Here is a 17,603-nt window from a genome sequence, read left to right on the forward strand (position 1 = left end):
TCCCTTCTCCTCCCTCCTTCCCTTTGACTCCTCCCATGGCTCCCCAGGGGAGGTTTGGGGTGGTTTCTATGTATGTCTTTCTGCCAAGTAGCTTTATCTGAAGCCTAGTTTTACAACAACGCTCGCTCTTTCCTAAGGCAGTGTGGGCTGTCTCTTGGTACCATTAGCACTTCTCAGCCATGTCTTGGTCTTCAGTGTTTGCTACATGAACCTAACGTCTCCAGGAGTAGATTTTATTTTATCAAGAAGTTCATTAATGGCGCAACTATGCAACGTTTCACCTGCCTAGTTGAAACTGGTTTGAAAACCAGATGACTTAGTGGCAGTGACGATGAGCTTCTGCACAGAAATCTTCTCTACTCACAAGCCGTAATGTATTTGGGTTTCAAAGACTTTGCATAGTAGGCAGCGTGCCATGATGCTGACAAATTTGTTATATAAAAATACTCGCCTATATCTCCCTTGGTTTTTAACCTGCTAATCGGCTTTAAAATAAAGTATGTTAGTAAACTGCAAGAATAAATTCTGACAATTGAGGGAGGGCTCGGAGTACTGATGGCTACCACTGTATTTTACCAGCCTTTTGGTCACTTAGAAGAGGTGCCAAAGATCAAGGAGAGGAAAGTGGTGGGCTACAAATGTAAATTCTGTGTGGAAGTGCACCCAACGCTCCGAGCCATCTGCAATCACCTCCGAAAGCACGTCCAGTATGGCAATGTCCCAGCTGTGTCAGCTGCTGTGAAGGTGAGAACTGGAAGGTCTGGATGAGCATTGTGTGTGAGCGATTCGAGTTACTTATTAACCCCATTGCCTAAAGCAGCTCAGGAAAGAGCATCTCAGAATGCGGGCATTCCTGAATTATGCTTGGATTGGTTTGGCTTGTTTTGATTTCTTTGCAGGTTGGACCTTCCTCATCTTTCTGTTCAGGGAAAGGTCGAGTTTCGATCTGGTTTCCTTCCACGCGGATAGTTTGGTGGCAGCAGAAGGTCCAGGATTCTCGGTCTAGGAGGCTTCGGGTCGTCCTTCTATTCTGCGTTTAGTGCCATTAGCTCTTCGTTCTTCCAAGTTGCCCGAGCTCTTGAGAGGAATCAAGTGGGTTCTGTTCCCATCATCTTCTGCTCCTCTTTCTTCCTGACTTCTTACTGTTCTCATCTGGCTGAGGATGCAGAGAGCCTAGGAGAATCTCTTTGTCTTCTTATCCTGGGTCCTCTGGGGACTGCAAGAGACATTAAAACTAAAAGCGTTCAAGTCGCAATTGACCCTGAAAGCCTTGGTTTGTCTCCTCCATCCCCTCTCCCATATGATGCTGACAAGTGTCTTCCCTTTTCCCTCTGACTTTTATTAGGCCACCTGTTTTGAACATCATAATCCTAATAGCAGCCACCATGTCAGTAACCAAGCCACCATCCCCGTCTTCCAGGATATTGCTAAGCCCTATTATTTATTAAAACAGAAGTCATTTTGGGGTTCTGCCCTTTCTCTAAGGGTACACGCGAACATATTTTTGTCATCTGCCCTTCTTGAGCTTACATCCTATTTTGCCAATTTAACATGAAGATAAAGTCTCTACTTTTCTTCACTGAAGACTGAAGCTTTCTGTCTTTTGGCAGAACAGTGGCAACCCAGGGATATCAGCAGTCACTTTCTTTCAGACACCACTGCGGTGTGTCCCAGGCTCGTTTCCTGGGATCATGTGAGAGAGACAGAAGGGCTTTTCCTGTGTAATCAGTAACCCAAGGAGCTATCTCGAAAAACAGGTGACTTAAAACTAGGCTGCTCCTTAATTTTTTGAATTGATTATGCAGCAGTCTCCAGTCATAGAGTGAAGTCACCATCTACAGGGTAGGGGGCAGACAGCGGGATCTTTTGCTTTGCTTCCTTTCCAGATAATGGCCCAAGGCTCCTCAATGACCATACTACTTTGCTTTTCTTTCTCTTCCTTTCTTCCTCTCCTTTCTGTGAGCCACAACCCTAGCCCAACTTTATGTCAACTTAGATGGGGTTGCAGTTTGAATTTTCTTTTAAGATGGGGAAGAAGTGAGTGAAGTGTCTTCAGAGTGGGAGAAGCCCTTGTTCACATTTCGCAAACAGTAGCAACCTGTGTCCGGGTATGTTGTCCTAAAATCACCTCCACTGCATGAAGAATGGCAGTTGGGCTTGCTCTCCCTCTAGGGGTAGCTGGAGAGGCAGGGGAGGAAGCTTTGACAAGAAGTGCTGTTGAGTTTGGGAGAATGTAGGGAGAAAAAGAAAGCTGGAGGCAATGATGATGGATATTTATTTTGTTGGTGGGGCATGTGTGTGTGTGTGGTTCTCTTAGCAGGAGGCGGATGACCCTGCCCACTTGTTCCTGGATGGATTGGAAGCAGCCAAAGACGCCAGTGGCGCCCTGGTGGGCCGGGTGGATGGTGAACACTGCTTGCTTGATGGAATGTTGGAGGATGAAACCCGGCCGGGGGGATACCATTGCAGTCAATGTGACAGAGTCCTGATGTCCATGCAGGGGCTGCGTTCTCATGAGAGGAGCCACCTGGCCCTGGCCATGTTTACCCGCGAGGACAAGTACAGCTGCCAGTATTGCTCGTTTGTTTCTGCTTTCAGGCACAAGTAAGTGCTATTGGGGGGTCACTAGTGGTTACTGGGAGATGATGTCATAGTGGAAGGCACTAAGCTAAAGCAGAAGCTTGGATGAGTAAGAAGGCCCCACTCATGGTTCACACCTGCTGCTATGTTACCTGGAGCCTCAGTCACCTTTTCTGTAAAATGGGGCTGAGAACAGGAGATTGATCGGATGGCGTTAGATTTGGCAAATGCAGGCATTTTAAAAATGAGAATTGGAGGAATTGCTATGATTTACCCAAAGGTAAAATGGCATCTGTGGAGAGTAGATGAGTCTCCTGATTCATCGTTCAAACATTCAGCCAAAATCTAGTCATTGTTTGAGGAAGTAAAGTCCATTTAGAAAACTGAGTTGCTAAAGAGGTAAAATTAGGACTATTAACCCATGTGACCAAAGAAACATTGCTTGCAATTTTTCAAAAGATCTTGAAAGGTAAAGAAGTTCATGGATGCCAAAGAGTTGCTTGACATACAGGGAGATTGAGGAGAGGGAGCTTCCCATTACTCATCACAGCTTTGAAAGTGTAAATATGGAATAGGTGTGTAAGGCTTTTTGGGGCCATGGAAAGAGGGGTGGTTTTAAGAACAACTTTTTGTTGCCTTTCTCTTTCAGCCGTGTAAAAGAGAGATAAATATTCAATAATGCGTTTGGACAGTCTTGGATAAAGGTGACTAAGACTGACATGCTTTTTAAAACAATTTTTTTAATGAAATAAATGATGGACTATTTGCTTCTTACAAAAGATAAAGGGCCAGTTAGTGGTTGTTGAACAGAAGAAGGAGGTGGTGTTTTCACAGAGGTTAGGATGGGTTGTAAACACTTTATTATTATACAGAGCCTAATATCTAATCTTTGTCATCAGATCCATACATTGGCATAAAACTTGAAATACTTCAATTCAAGAAGTATTTATTGAACAGCATCTATCACATTGTCTGACGCACAGTGGAACTTTAAATAATTGTGAATAAATGAATATATCCTGTCCTAGGTACTGTACTTTTGGGAAATATAAAGACACAGGCCATGGTCTGTGGCCAGGGGAATTTAGGGTCAAGGGTTGGTTTATGAAATTAAAAAAAAACAAAACAAAACCCACTGACTCATCAAAATAAAGCACGTCTTTGAAAATATCAGTAAAATACTATGATGTGTCAAAGAAGAGAAATGTTACATCAGCTTTGGAAGAGTCAGGAAGGTTTTATGGCATAAGGAGCATTTGGGTGAAGTCTTAAAGTAGGAAAATAGGACTTGAATAGTTTGGAAAGGACATATGATGTAGAGGAAAAGCTGAGGGAGGAGACCATGAAGCTGACTGGGGCCCTAGCTGGGGGTTCAGTTTGACTAATCCTTAAGTTACATGTAAAGGAATAGTGAAAGATAAGGTCTAAATACTTTAAAGGAGACCATATTTGGAGTTTTAAATGCCAGGAAATAGTATTTCATAATTTAAATTGCTGGTAAAAGGAAGAGTCAAATTAGCAAAATAATTATAATTGCTAACATTTATTGCATCTCACTATATACCAGGCACTGTACTAAGGGCCTTTAAATATTACTTAATTTCATTCTCAAAACTCTCCTATAAGGTATGGCCCCATTATTATCATCTTATGAATAAGAAGAGTAAAGCCTAGAAAAATTAAGTAATTTGCCCAAGGACACACAGCCTATATGTAATGGCTGAGATTTTATCCCAGGTAGTCTGACTCCATAGCGTGTGCTCTTGAGATGAAAAAAAAAAAAAAAAAATCCATGGGGGCTGGGGGACAAGGAATTAAGAAGCAATAATAGTAGCTAGTTCAAGAAGTTAGGGAATGATTGAAGGAATGGATTTGCCTGACTTGGAAAAATTGACTTCATGCGTGGGATGAGGGACAAAGTAAAATACAAATGGCAACTAGGTTTTCAGTTTACTCATCTGGAAGAAAGGTTAGTGCCATTTATAGAAACAAGGAAATGAAGAAGAGAATTTGTTTTGTAGAAAACTCTCTGATGGGTTTGTTTAGAACAGGTTGAGTTAAAGAGAACTAAAGGACACCCAGAGGGAGCTGTCCAGGGGCAATTGAAAATGTTGCTTTGGAGCTCAGGACAGCATTATATGTTGAAATGGTAAGCAGTACCGTTCCCACATGAGGCATTTAGAAGGGAATTTAGTTCTCTGGAGTGCTGATACAAATTAGAACTTCCCACACCTTGTTTGGTAGATTTATTATTTTTTTAGGCTAATAATTATTATGAAGTACTAGGGGTTCGTTGTAATTAAATAACTCCCTTGTAAATTGCTTCTGGAAGACTTACAGCAAACATGGTTGTGTGTATCAGAAGGGATGTGCGGCCTTTTGACCACGTGGCTCCTTTAAACATGCATGCACTGTGCCTCCATATTAATATAGACCCTGGCAACAAGACAGCCCATTGCAAGAAGGTCAGCCACTTCGAAACCTCCCTTCCTCACTCTAGTGTTCACAATGAAAGTAGAATTAGAATTCAAAAAGAAAGTCAGCTCTTTTCAAATGCTAAATTTCTCTAATTCCCATTCTGTTATTTGAATAAGTTAGAGGACTAATTGATAGGCACTCTCACTGGCTTGGCAGGAAGCTTGAATTCACCCATATTGTACCTTCTCTTTAGATACACTCTTCCAATGATCAGAGCTCTAAGAAGGGACAATAAAGATTCTTACCATGACCTGTTACCACTGCCATATCTCTAAATCCAAAAAAAACTCTTGATCTCTTCCTTTAGCTTCCTGTCCTCTTAGAGTAGGTACAACTCTTGAAAATTAATTAATTAAATTGATAAATGCCATTATTGGAAAGTAAACAAAAGGACTTTGAACGACCTAGAAGTAGGATTCCTGGAAAAAAAGCAATGAGCAAATCCTCTATGCAATTTTTAATTTTGTCATTTTTCTTTTTGTTTTCCTTCTACATCAAGTTTGGATCGCCATATGCAAACCCACCACGGACACCATAAACCATTCCGATGCAAACTCTGCTCCTTCAAGTCCTCCTATAACAGCCGGCTGAAAACACATATACTCAAAGCTCATGCTGGTGAGTTGTGCATTGATGATGCACAAGTTCTTTAGCACTCTCTGAGTTTGAAACCTGATGATCTTTATTGAGTGAAATACTGTCCTGCCTTACACTTGAGAATGTTATTCTTGGGATGGATGTATATTCAGTTTTATTTTTACCTAGTAAAGAAAAAATAAAGAAAAAAGTAAAAGTTAAACAAAATCACCTAAATCCAAAATAATACAAAGCCTATGTCACCCATGTTATGGTTAGTTCGTTCGTCCTACTGACAAGTTAGAATTAGACTGTTGGTGATTTTTACAGAAATTTCTAAACTGCCTATACTTTCTAATTCAATTGCCAAGAATTGTTATATCTATTAAAAAGACTTTCCAGCTAAAATAAAGTTACCAACTTAAGGAAGTTAGAAAGGGCAAAGGGAACTCAAGATGTGTGAGATTTTTCAAGAGATACCCTTAGATATGTTTCCGTACATAAGACAGAAATGACTTTGGGTTGTGAGTGTCCAGCAGCTGTGCTGGTCTCTATCATATTGTTGTTCCATCTCATTACTCATTAGAAAAAATTGGAAATGAAAGAAGAAATACAGTCAGTCATCTATAATCTTATCTGAAGACCACTGTTGTTGACGTCTGATGTGTCATGACCCTTACCCACCAGGCTGTGCACTAGGCGTGTTATATGCATCATCTTCTTTAGTCCTATAATCGTCCTAAAGGGGAGGCATTGTGTCACATTCCTTGTGCCTTGTATAACCCTTGGTCACAGTTTGAACAGTGTTGTAAGAACTGCTCAGAACCTGGGTCCTTCACTTTCGCCAGCTCCTCATGCTCTGTGTAAACAGGACCATGTCTCTTCATTGTCTTCTGAGTGTTGGATTTTGTTGAACTGACTTAATGCAGTAAGATTACCCAGGTCTCCCAGTTGCCTCAAACTCCACTAGGAGTAAGGAATGGGACAGGGAAGTTAGCTATAGGGGCTTTTCTCTATCTTTTTGTATTTTTCTGTCTCTGGGAAATTTCTACTAAAGTCCTTGAAGTGAGTGGCTTCAGGGTTCAAATCACTGTTTTCTAACTTGTGTATATTGTAAATTATCCAGCTGGGACACTATCCTGGTGAGTTTTGCCCATAGGCCTTAGCCTTGTCAAAAGCACTTTTACCAGCGAGAGCTGGGAAGAGATGATTCGGCCTGTGGGAAAGACTTGAAGAGAGCATCAGAGCCTGCACACTGATGCCAGCGTATTAAGCTGAAGTGTCTGCTCTTGGAACTGACCCAAAAAACTGGCCTCCCTGTACTCACTGGCTGGCAGGAAGAGAGCATCCAGTAAGAGAGATTGGGAGCAGTGTAATTCAGTTCTTGACATACCTTGGAACCTTGGCCTCCATGACATTGCTTTGAGTGACTGAGTGGGGCTTGGCTTGGAAAAAGCCAGTACCTTTTCTGAAAGACTCTTGACTCATCTTGTCTTTTCTAGATAGATTATTTTATTTTATTTTAAAGAAGAAAAGGTAATGTGTGCTAACCCAAACATCTGGATTTGAATTCTCTCTCAGGTCGTGCAACTCACAGCCACCAGCAATATTCACACAACCAAGCTTGCATTAAAAGAAAAAAATGAAAAAATAGAATAAAGAGGGCAGTAGTATTCTATATATTGTCATATATATATTCATCCGTGGTGAGAGGAAGGCTTAATTACAGAACTTGGATGCTATACTCACTTCACATGTGAACCCATTTAGTAATTTTCATGGTGGCAGGAAAATAATAATCTCGGAAATGTAGGGACAAAGAATGATCTTCCAATACCTGTTTTTCTTACTTTTAATCCTTAGACCACACCTCTGTTCATTTTCACTGGTCCACAAAACTTTATGATTCTGTTTTCTCTTTTTTCTTCTCTGAGTTTTAAATGTCACCTTAAAAATTAATTTTAAAAATACATGTTCATTAGAGAAAGTTTGGAAATGAAAGAAGAAATACAGTCATTCATAATCTTGTTATCTAAACGCCACTGTTGTTAACATTTCATATATTTCCTTTCAGTCATTTTCTCTGTAATTATTTTTAATAGTTGTAATTCTAATGCAATTGAATATATATATTTAGCCTTTGTATTTACTTTTATTTTTATGTTATTATAAACTCCAAGAATTTATTTTAATTGAATAAAATAAATCATCAATAGGATATGCCCAGATTTACTTAATCTTTTCCTTATGGTTGTAAATTTAGGTTATTTCATACCTTTTTCAAGCATAAATGATGTATATTTCTAAGTAAAACTTTATATTTATTAAAGGATATCTTCTTATTACTCTTTGAAATGGAGTTACTGGGTTGGAAACATGAGCATTTCTAAGTCTATTGTTCTTAAAAGCAAAATGGCTTTCTGAATTGATCTTACCAGTGTATATATGTCCAACAATTTAAGCCTGCCCACTTCACACTCTTAGTTCTTAAAATGTAATTAATTTAACAGGTAATATATGGCGAAGGTAAATCACACTTTAACTTAATTTGGTCATGGTGATCTGTGTTGTATTTCAGTGGCATAAAATTAATTTTAAAAGTAGTGCTTATTTTTACTGAGAGGCAGTCTTTATTGAAGAATATTGGAGATAAACACACACACTGTACCCCCTAAACCCCCATGTTTACATATACAGCTCTCTTCCTTAGAGAAATGACTTATTTTTACCCATTTCTGTGCTATTGACTAGATAAGGAAATGGAGTTCTATGCTGAGGTTTATGAACTGGTCCAAAAATATATATATGTGGGATGAGAATGTGTATAGTTAGCAAGGAAGTACAGAATAGAATAGCACAACAGAGCTTGCACTGAATGACTTTGTGATTAAAAAGCCACTAATAGATCTTTGGAATAATAATTAAGCATGTTATTTTCTGGGACTGACAAAAAGGCCACCTTGAATGAAACCTGACATGGTCATTTCTAGTGTAGAGAGGGAGGGAAAGGGATTGGAAATTTTTCTAAAGGAGGTATCATGGGCAGTTGGGTTTGACTTCCTATTGGGGAATTAATTCATAGCTTCACTCCTGTAAGCAGAGCCCAAAATGAAAAAGGACCAGTTCACTAGATTCTGGAGCTCATGGAAGAGTTTCAACTCCAAAGGAGTACTGTGGTTGTGGCAGGTTGTTGGTCTGTGAGGTTCGTTCATAGAACATGAAGCTTGAGATGCGCTTCTCTAGCATGAGTTAACTGAGTTATCTTGTTTCCACCCTGGCCTTATACCCTTCTCCCCTCTTTTTCCTGTTCTATTTCTTGTCACCATCCTCTTCCAGGTGAGCATGCCTACAAGTGTTCTTGGTGCTCATTCTCCACCATGACAATCAGCCAGCTGAAGGAACACTCCCTCAAGGTCCACGGAAAAGCCCTGACCCTCCCCAGGCCACGGATCGTCAGTCTCCTCTCCTCACACTCCCACCACTCCTCCCAAAAAGCTACCCCGGCTGAAGAAGTGGAAGACTCCAATGGTAAAAATGGGCTTCCAAGCTGGAATTAACCACTCAGGGTTGAGGTGGGCTGGGATTCATTGCCAATCATTTTTTTTAGAGGAAAATCTTATGTGAAAACATGATGGTTCAAGTGAAGGAAGAAATATGAAAAAGTTGAAATGGTGTGGAAGTTGGAGTGGGAAGGGGAAATGAACTTGTTGAGCATCTGTGTGACGCCATGATGAAAATGGAATTCAGTGCTCATGGGAGTGTTGCTAGTGGAAAGAGCCTGTCAAGTGGGATGGATTAGTTTTGGATCGTTCCACTGTGGTTTCAAGCAAGAAAGCGAATACAGTACCAGGCCAATTTGTTTGTTTTTATTTATATCCTGTCTTGTTCTAAAAATATGTGCTGCGAAATGTTTGGGGAGACAGGTATGTACATTAATGACACAAAATTCAGAGTAGGAGTGCAAAGGGTGAATGAGTGGGGAAGTGTGTCTGACTGAGCCACGTGATACCTTAGGGGTGACATAGGGATTTCTTACAGCTAAAGGATGCTAAGGAGGCATGAGTTGGGAGGAGAGTTTTACTGTTTAGTTTTGGAGTTTCAGAAGAAATACAGGAAGCCAGGGAGAGGGTCTCCTCGCTAGCAATGTGACCAAAGCTGTAGGGGAGAGAAAGAGTCCAGACCTTAGGGCCTGCAGATATGGCATAGTAAGCAAAGGGATAGTTTATTGTTTTTATAAGACCAGGAAGCAGACCTGCTTGATTTCTCATCTCACCTCAAATGATTGCAGAATCAGCTGCTTAGAAGAGAAGGAGAGGAAGTCTGCAGATTCTTCGAGGTAGACCTGCTCTCTTCCAACCCCTTCTAATTCTTGAATCCCTTCTGCGGGAGCCAGTTAGCTACCATCAGCTTGAGTACTTCCCAGGTCAAGGAATGACTGTCTCCCAAGATCTACTGTTACATTCTTGGGAGGAGCTTAGTGGACTGGAAAGAAAGCAGAACAAAAGCTTGGGTTTGAATCTCACTTCTCTCGATGATGGTCACGTTTCCCTGGGCAATCTTAGCTTCTTGTAGCCGTATGTAAAATTGTATAGTGATATCTGCCTCAACTGATTATCTTCAGAGATTAATGAGAAAAGATACGCACCTGTAAAATACCTAATACAGCCTCTGACACATAGTAGGAATTTAATAAAAGGCCGTTTTATTTCTGTACTTTTCATCCTTTGGTTGCAATTCTGGCCTTTGGGACCATTTATAACAAGTACGAATTTTGGTTATTTTTAATGTGTGTGTTTAAAACAAGAGACTCTTCAGATAACCTGATGATCTGACAGCCCAACTTGTCAACATGGTCTAATTCTCAGATTACCAAAAGAGTAAATGAGTAATCTTTATTCATGAGGTCTGTGAGCAGACACCTGTAGGAGGAAATGAAATGGTAAGTCCTAAGATGAAAAGCTGCTTTTTAAAAAATTTTTGAAGCTTGGTGGTCTTTCCTTTGCAAATCATTTATAGTGTTCAACACTATAGCTCCTTACTGGTGTCCCGGCCTTAAAGGACTTCTGTTTAACAAAGAAGGCTTGTTATGATGGCTACGACTTGTAATGAAGTGACCACACAATCTCCTTAGCTACTGTGTAGTAGTTTAAAATGGGGAAGGAAGCCTGTAGTGTTTTTTTTTTCTCTTCTGGGAAAATTCAGAGTCACACATCTAGGGCTGGGTGAGAGTACCTGTGGAAGGGTAAAGAAAATGTCCCCTTTTCACCTGAAATCTTCTATTCACCAGGAAAGGTTGGTATATTGCAACCAGAAGGGCAAAATCTAACTTGACTCAAATTGTAGGATCTGTATTAATGTGATTTTTAATTAATTGTTTTCATCTGACATGGAAGCTACATTTGTGGAGCTGTTTGGATGAAACAGATTCATCTCAGTGCCATTGCTAGCAAAGGCTTTTGCTGGGACATTTTTCTCAATGTCATACCTTCTTTTTCCTTTGTCTGTCTTCCTTGAAAGGTGGGTCTCAGTCAGAGGTCAAGGGAATCCTTTAAACCCACCCACTGCATGTATCATCATCCTCTGCATAGACTGAGAAGAGTTGAGTTCAGTTATACTCTTGAGCCTGTACTCTCTTCTGAGGGCTGTACTATGCACGGAAGAATCAGAAATGAGTATAGTATTTTTCTGGCCCTCCGACAACTTAAAATCAACTGTTTAGATGATACTATTAGCGCTTACATTTGAGCTAACCATAACCCTAAGCCTCAGGCCTAATCTATTTGTGGAGTGATTTCAGATTCTTGGAGGATGGACTGTGGGGAGGAGTGGGTGTCACAGAAATATGACAAAGTGACGTTGAGTAGCTCTCTCTATAACATAGATATTCTGTTTTTGTTTAGCCACAGGGAAATAATTTGCAATATATAAAAGGGATTCTTACTTTTATCCTTATGAAAGAACACAGTAACTGAAAGCTCTGTGTGGTAACTATTTAGTGATCCGTACACAAAAGTCATTGGGCCTGTACTGTTTTTAATGTATATAAATGACCTATATCAATGGATCAGCAGTGATTAATTTGATGACATAAAAGCTGATTAGATGAGGTAAACAAAAAGAAGGCTATTCACATGAATGAATAATTCTGTGGAAAGAGTAGTTAATAATTGTTCATTCAGTAAGTATTTTCTTGAATCCTTACTATAGATTTTGTATAGTTTTGCATGGCCAAGAGTGGCTGGGCAGGCCCAAAGTGGGAAGACTTTGCTAAGGAGCCGGATGGTGGATTCCTAGAAACAGCTAAGTCTACAGGATGGAAAAACAGCTGTGGGGCTAGATAGTAGCCTGTAAATTAGGCCTTGAATGGTGTTTGAAACACTCATGTGAAATCCAATTGCACATTTTAATAGAGAGAAGCTGTGGGGCTATTGGCTCACAGTTAAGGTTTCCCACACTGCAGATGCCAGGACAATGTGAACACACCAACCAAAAATGTGTTGCAGGCCTGGGGGGAGTCAAGATCCATAAAACCAGGGAAATCACCAGTGTGTCTTTGGCTTTCTGATTCCGTAGTGAGGGATGTGAATAAAACAAGTTGACATGCTCCTGTTATTTGCAGTGGTCAAATGCTTGCCGTCTTGAGAGTGAGCCAGTCTTCTCTGGCAGAGGGAAACAGCCTGAAAAGGGAGGTTCTTTCTAAGCTGCTCTCCCTCCCAACCCAGAGGAGGGAGGAAAGTGGAGAAAGCAAAAATGAGAAGGTAGAGGGGAGATTTCACTCCAGCTGCCTGGCCACACACCTGTTCTGTGCTTCAGCCCTGCTCTTGGGCTCTGAGCTGTCAGTGTTGACATGTTTCACCAGCACACGAATCCTCTATATATTCATGATGATCAGTTGTTGGAAAGAAAAGCAACGGCTCTATGGTATTGGTTTTGTGTATAAGATAATGGGCAATGACATGTAATTGCTATTCTAAACAATGCATTAAGAGGAAACAATAAGGTTGTCAACAAAGGGAAATGCTCTGCTGTGTTTGTGTTTACTGTGTTCCTTCTCCTGCCATATACAACACAGGACTAGCTTTTATCCGGCTATTTCCAAGTCTCTGCTTTCAGTACAGAAAAATACACATATAGGCACAGCTGTAAAATAACAAAGAAACTAGGACAGCGTAGTTTAGCTATGAGATTTGTTTTAGGTCTGAGAAGCTACACAGGACATGGGCAATGGATACGTAACTTAAAATTCAACTATGTGTTTTATAAGAAGTCAAGCCAGTGGTGACATTCCATCTTTTTCCTCCCTCTAGTTTCTCCCGGGGACTAATAAGTTATTTTGTTTCATCTATCTATGCAGTTATGCTATGGAATTGCCTGCTTTAGAAAATAGTTACTATGATGCATTTAGGACAAAAACAAAAATCAGACCAGGTGCAAAATGAATAAGGTGAATGATGGTAACATAGTTTTGTTTTGCGCGCGCGTGTGTGTGTGTGTGTGTGTGTGTGTGTGTGTGTTTGCTGGTGCCTTAGTTAGCAACCCAGAGAAAACAGAAAGAACACTTGGTTGTGATACCCCTCCATTTATAATATAGAACTTGATATAGTCCTCCCAAAAGAGAAGTCTGTGATATTGTGAATTAATAGAAAAATGTTGCAAGGAGCTTGGCAATTTCCTTTTGTACCGATTTTTAAATAAATTTCAATTGGTTTTTCTGCTCTAAACTCTAGAATAATATTTGACAAACACTATTTTTATCAAGACATTTCTCATCAAGGAACCACATGTACTTATTGTCTGTCATATCAAAGTCTTCAGCATTGCATCCAAAGTTCACCATTTAGTCATGCTTTCTCCATTGCACAGTGGCTTCACTAGCAAATACTGACATTCCTACCATCTCTCTACTTACTACCCTAAGCATTTAATGTCTTCCTTTGTACTTCTACTCACTTTCAGTAAGCTCTGCTGGGAGGTTAGGTGGATTTCTTTCCTGTCTGCTTCTCTCTACTAGTCCATGACTTTCACTTCCTTTAAGGATTGATTTTCACTGGCCCCAAACTACTCTTATTACTCTTCCTGGTGCTGTATTAGTACTTGCAGATATGCTATTTTTTTCTGTCCCCTAATTTTCCAATATGGACAGTTAGGTAAGTACTTATTAAATACTTATTCTTTTCATGGACCAGTGGTATCTTGGAGGCATCAGTTTTCAGTTCTGTTAATTGTACTGGGTCCTCAAATACATTTTAACTCCACTAACCAAATTACACAGGCTGAGTTTATTTCATTTCCATTTAAGAGGCAGATCAAAAGACAATCTGAAGATGAAACCTTAGGGAATGCTCTAACATTAATTCTCTGACACAATTACTCTGCCAAGATAAAAAAATCTTCCTTGACAAAGAGCGTTTTAAATATTGTCATTGTTCCCTGCATGATGAGACCTCCTGTATAGGTGGGAAGCTGAAGGTTGAGACAGGGTATAAACCCTTCTGTCCCTCAGAATGATATAGAAAGTATGATGGAGCTGGAGAAATGAACATTTCTAGTATGGTCAGCTGTTAGCAGAGTTGCTTCTTGGAGCAAGTGCGCACAATTATTGATCTTAGAGTGGGCTAATTTGTTCTCTGTGTCTCTGTCAATATACAGTGTTTGGTTGCAGTTAAATTCAGATTCAAAGATGATATAGCGATAAACTGACCAACAAAACTTGTCAATGAGTAGAGCTTTCTATTCTACCTGAAAACTTTTCCCATCAGACTTTTAAAACAATATATTGGTTAGAAGAAGAGACTCATTTGGTGAGACTCAGTTTTTCTAAACATTAGAGATTGGCAAACTTTTTCCTTTAAAAAAATTTAAATTGACACATAATAATTACACATTTGTAGCATACAGTGTGATAATTTGATACATGCATATGATGTGTAATGATTAAATTAGGGTCACTAGCATTTCCATCACCTCAAACATTTATCATTTCTTTGTGTTGGAAACATTCAAAGTCTGCTCTTTAAACTGTTAGTAAATATACAATCAGTTGTTGTTTATTCTAGTTATCTTAAGATGCTGTAAAATTCTAGAACTTGTTTCTCCTATCCAGCTATAATTGTGTATCTATTTACCACCCTAATGCCCTTCCCAGTCTCTAGTAATCACTATTCTACTTGCTACTTCTATGAGATCAACTTTTCTAGCTTCTACATAGGACATAAGAATGTACAGTATTTGTCTTTCTGTGCCGGCTTATTGGCAATTTTTTTCTATAAAAAGGGCCAGACAGAAAATATTTTCAGCACTGTAGGTTATGCAGTCTCTGTCACAACTACTTAATTCTGCCATTGTAACGTGAAAGTAGCCATAGACAATATGTAAACAAACGACATGGCTGTGTTCCAATAAAACTTTATGTACAAAAACAAAGGAAAGGCCCATGAATGATACTTCACTAACCCATGCCATAGATGAGATGATTGGGGGGAATAATTACAGCAATACCCATGAGATTAATCCAGTCTTTAATAAATGTCATTCTGAGCCTTTATATTTAACATATGGAATACTCCTAGATGTCACTTAAAAATGTAACTTGACCTAAATATATTATTAGATTCATATATGAAATGTAAGGTATCAGATGAAGTTTTAAAAATATTTGTGCATGAATTACATTTAAGCTTAAAAGGAAACCCTTCTCTAAGAATTATGTTGAGTCTATCAACTCATTTAACCTTGGCTGCAGCAATGCTTGACAACTAAAAAATTAAGATCTGGGATGCTTTATTTTTGAAGAGAAGCTTTTCAGATATCTAAATAGGTCAGACATAAAATTCAGCCTTTAAGAGGATCCAGTTAGTTGCTAGGGCATCAGCCCTTCCACACAGGTTCCAATTGCAATCAGATTAAAAGAAAAAATGAGGTGGTTTCTTTAAAAACGACAATCATGAAATGGAGACTCCCAAGTGAATAATTAATTGTAAAATACAAAAATTTACATCGTTTATAGCACATGCGATGTAAGACATAATTTTAATGGCTTGACTATAATTTTTAATAGGTTCTGCTGGTCTCAAAATTATCTGACCAGATACTAACTAACCTTCTCTTTTTGACATCAGAATTTCTCCATCAAAATGTGGCCTAAAGTTCATTTTAACACTTACTATGTTTCTATATTTCTACTGTAAAGACTTAAGAGGTCTGCAACTTCAGTGGAGCAAAGTGGCATTGAAGACCCCGAATCTTCTGTTATTACCTGGAAATCTACAGGGATTAAATGTTAAGACTCTGCCTCAGTGGCAAAGAGCAACCCTCCAATATTATCACCACTCTGAACTCAAAGGTCACGTGATACACGCTTCCCAAGATACCAACCTGCCTGGGATTTCTGTGACTTTGAATTAGCCATAGTTTTGTGGCTGCTATCATCCTTTGTGCCAGAGATGAAAACATTTCAAGTATAGGCTTTCCATGTCCTGGGAACTTAGTCAACTAATTCATCTCCCTGTTCCCATGCCAACAAAAACATTGTTCATCAGAAATGTAACCATATACTACTAAACTTATTCAGAACTAGTTCCCAGCAACACTGGAGTTTGCTTCATAATTCCACATCTGACTTTCAAATCTCTGGGTGAACTGCTTGGAGATTACTTCAAGTCTTCCAGACCTCATTTGTGGAAAGTATCTAAAAGAGAAGAAATCTACTTTATTCTTTAGCAGAAAAATATGTCAGTCATTAGCTGAATCATCTAAAGCAATTAATCTCAGTTATTTTTTAAAAGAAAGAATTTTTCCTTGTCTTCTCATTGCCCACTTCAAATTTTCTGTCCCTGGAGCTGAAGCTAGTATTTTAGCCCAATTTTACTTGAGATAAAAATCCCTCAAACTGTCTTGAGACTTCTTATGACTCATAGGTCTCTCCAGTCTTTCTGTTCTGTGTGAGAGGATTTTACATAGGCAGAAGGAAGGGTATTTGAGTTGGGAGAAGTCACAAGAGTGAGCCATGATTTAGAGGTAGAAATCCTGCAACAGCCTTGCTAGAGTCGAGGGTATGTCCTCGGAAAGATGGGTATGTAAAAAAATAATTTTTTTAAAAGTGTGAAGAGCCCCGGTGTTGTGGCTCGTGCCTGTAATCCCAACACTTTGGGAGGCTGAGGCAAGAGGATCTCTTGAGGCCAGGAGTTCAAGACCAGCGTGGGCAACATAGCAAGATCCCATCTCTACAAAAATATAAAAATAAAATAAAATAAAAGTGGGAGGTGAGAATAAGATGCCAGAAATAACTTTTTAGCTACAATTATTTTTTTGAAAAAATAAATTACATACATTCTGATTGTATGTCCCAGGAAAGCATGTCCAAATGTTGTACACATATTTTTGTTAACATGTTTTGTTAACCGTAAATAACAACCAACAGAAAAATCCCAGTGGTGGTGATTAAACAAAAATGGTGAAATAGCAAATGGCCAAAAGTGACATGAGGGGCAAGTATACAGCTGGGAGAATCTGCTTGCTCTCTGCTGGATTCAGTCCGTTTCTGTTTAGGCTCAGGAAATGATATGTTCCTGCCATTGGGGCTCTTCCACTTTGCAAACAGTTTCCGAGTCGTCAAGTTCAACCCAAAGGAAGTGTTTGGCTGAGAATTTAGGGCCCAGCTAAAGTTTCATTTCCCAGCACACTGCTTGTGGAGAAGTCATTCCAAGGCTAGGTTCTTCAGCTTCCATGGGGACACAAAACATTCTTAGATGACTCGCACAGGTCACTCACTCTCTTATGTCATCTTTTATTTTGATGCACTGTGAGTCCTCCACCAGAGCTGCTATGATAGCCACATCGAAGAGATGCAGGACCTTCTAAACTCTTAACCTATGTGTTGATTTTTAGCACTGCTAGTTATTTTTTTCCCCTTTGGCCAGTTTGAAAGTCATCCATTCTGGTTTACATAACGGTTCTGCATGTCTCTTTGT

At 39.5% G+C, this 17,603-nt stretch overlaps 1 protein-coding gene across 36 annotated transcripts in view; it reads left to right on the plus strand.

Annotated features, from left to right (window-relative positions):
• ZNF462 (zinc finger protein 462) overlaps positions 1-17,603 on the plus strand; it is a 153,477-nt gene that overhangs the window by 69,788 nt on the left and 66,086 nt on the right. For 16 of the 36 annotated variants that reach the window (XM_047423662.1, XM_047423680.1, XM_006717212.5 and 13 more), the window contains 4 exons: positions 580-744; positions 2,318-2,604; positions 5,558-5,676; positions 8,971-9,162. In XM_047423662.1, the coding sequence (XP_047279618.1) occupies positions 580-744; positions 2,318-2,604; positions 5,558-5,676; positions 8,971-9,162 (763 nt within the window). The remainder of the gene's footprint in view (positions 1-579; positions 745-2,317; positions 2,605-5,557; positions 5,677-8,970; positions 9,163-17,603) is intronic. The other 20 variants (XM_047423672.1, XM_047423685.1, XM_047423676.1 and 17 more) reach the window with 2 other exon arrangements.

Source organism: Homo sapiens, chromosome 9 (assembly GCF_000001405.40).
Source record: "Homo sapiens chromosome 9, GRCh38.p14 Primary Assembly".
Classification (NCBI taxonomy): Eukaryota; Metazoa; Chordata; class Mammalia; order Primates; family Hominidae; genus Homo; species Homo sapiens.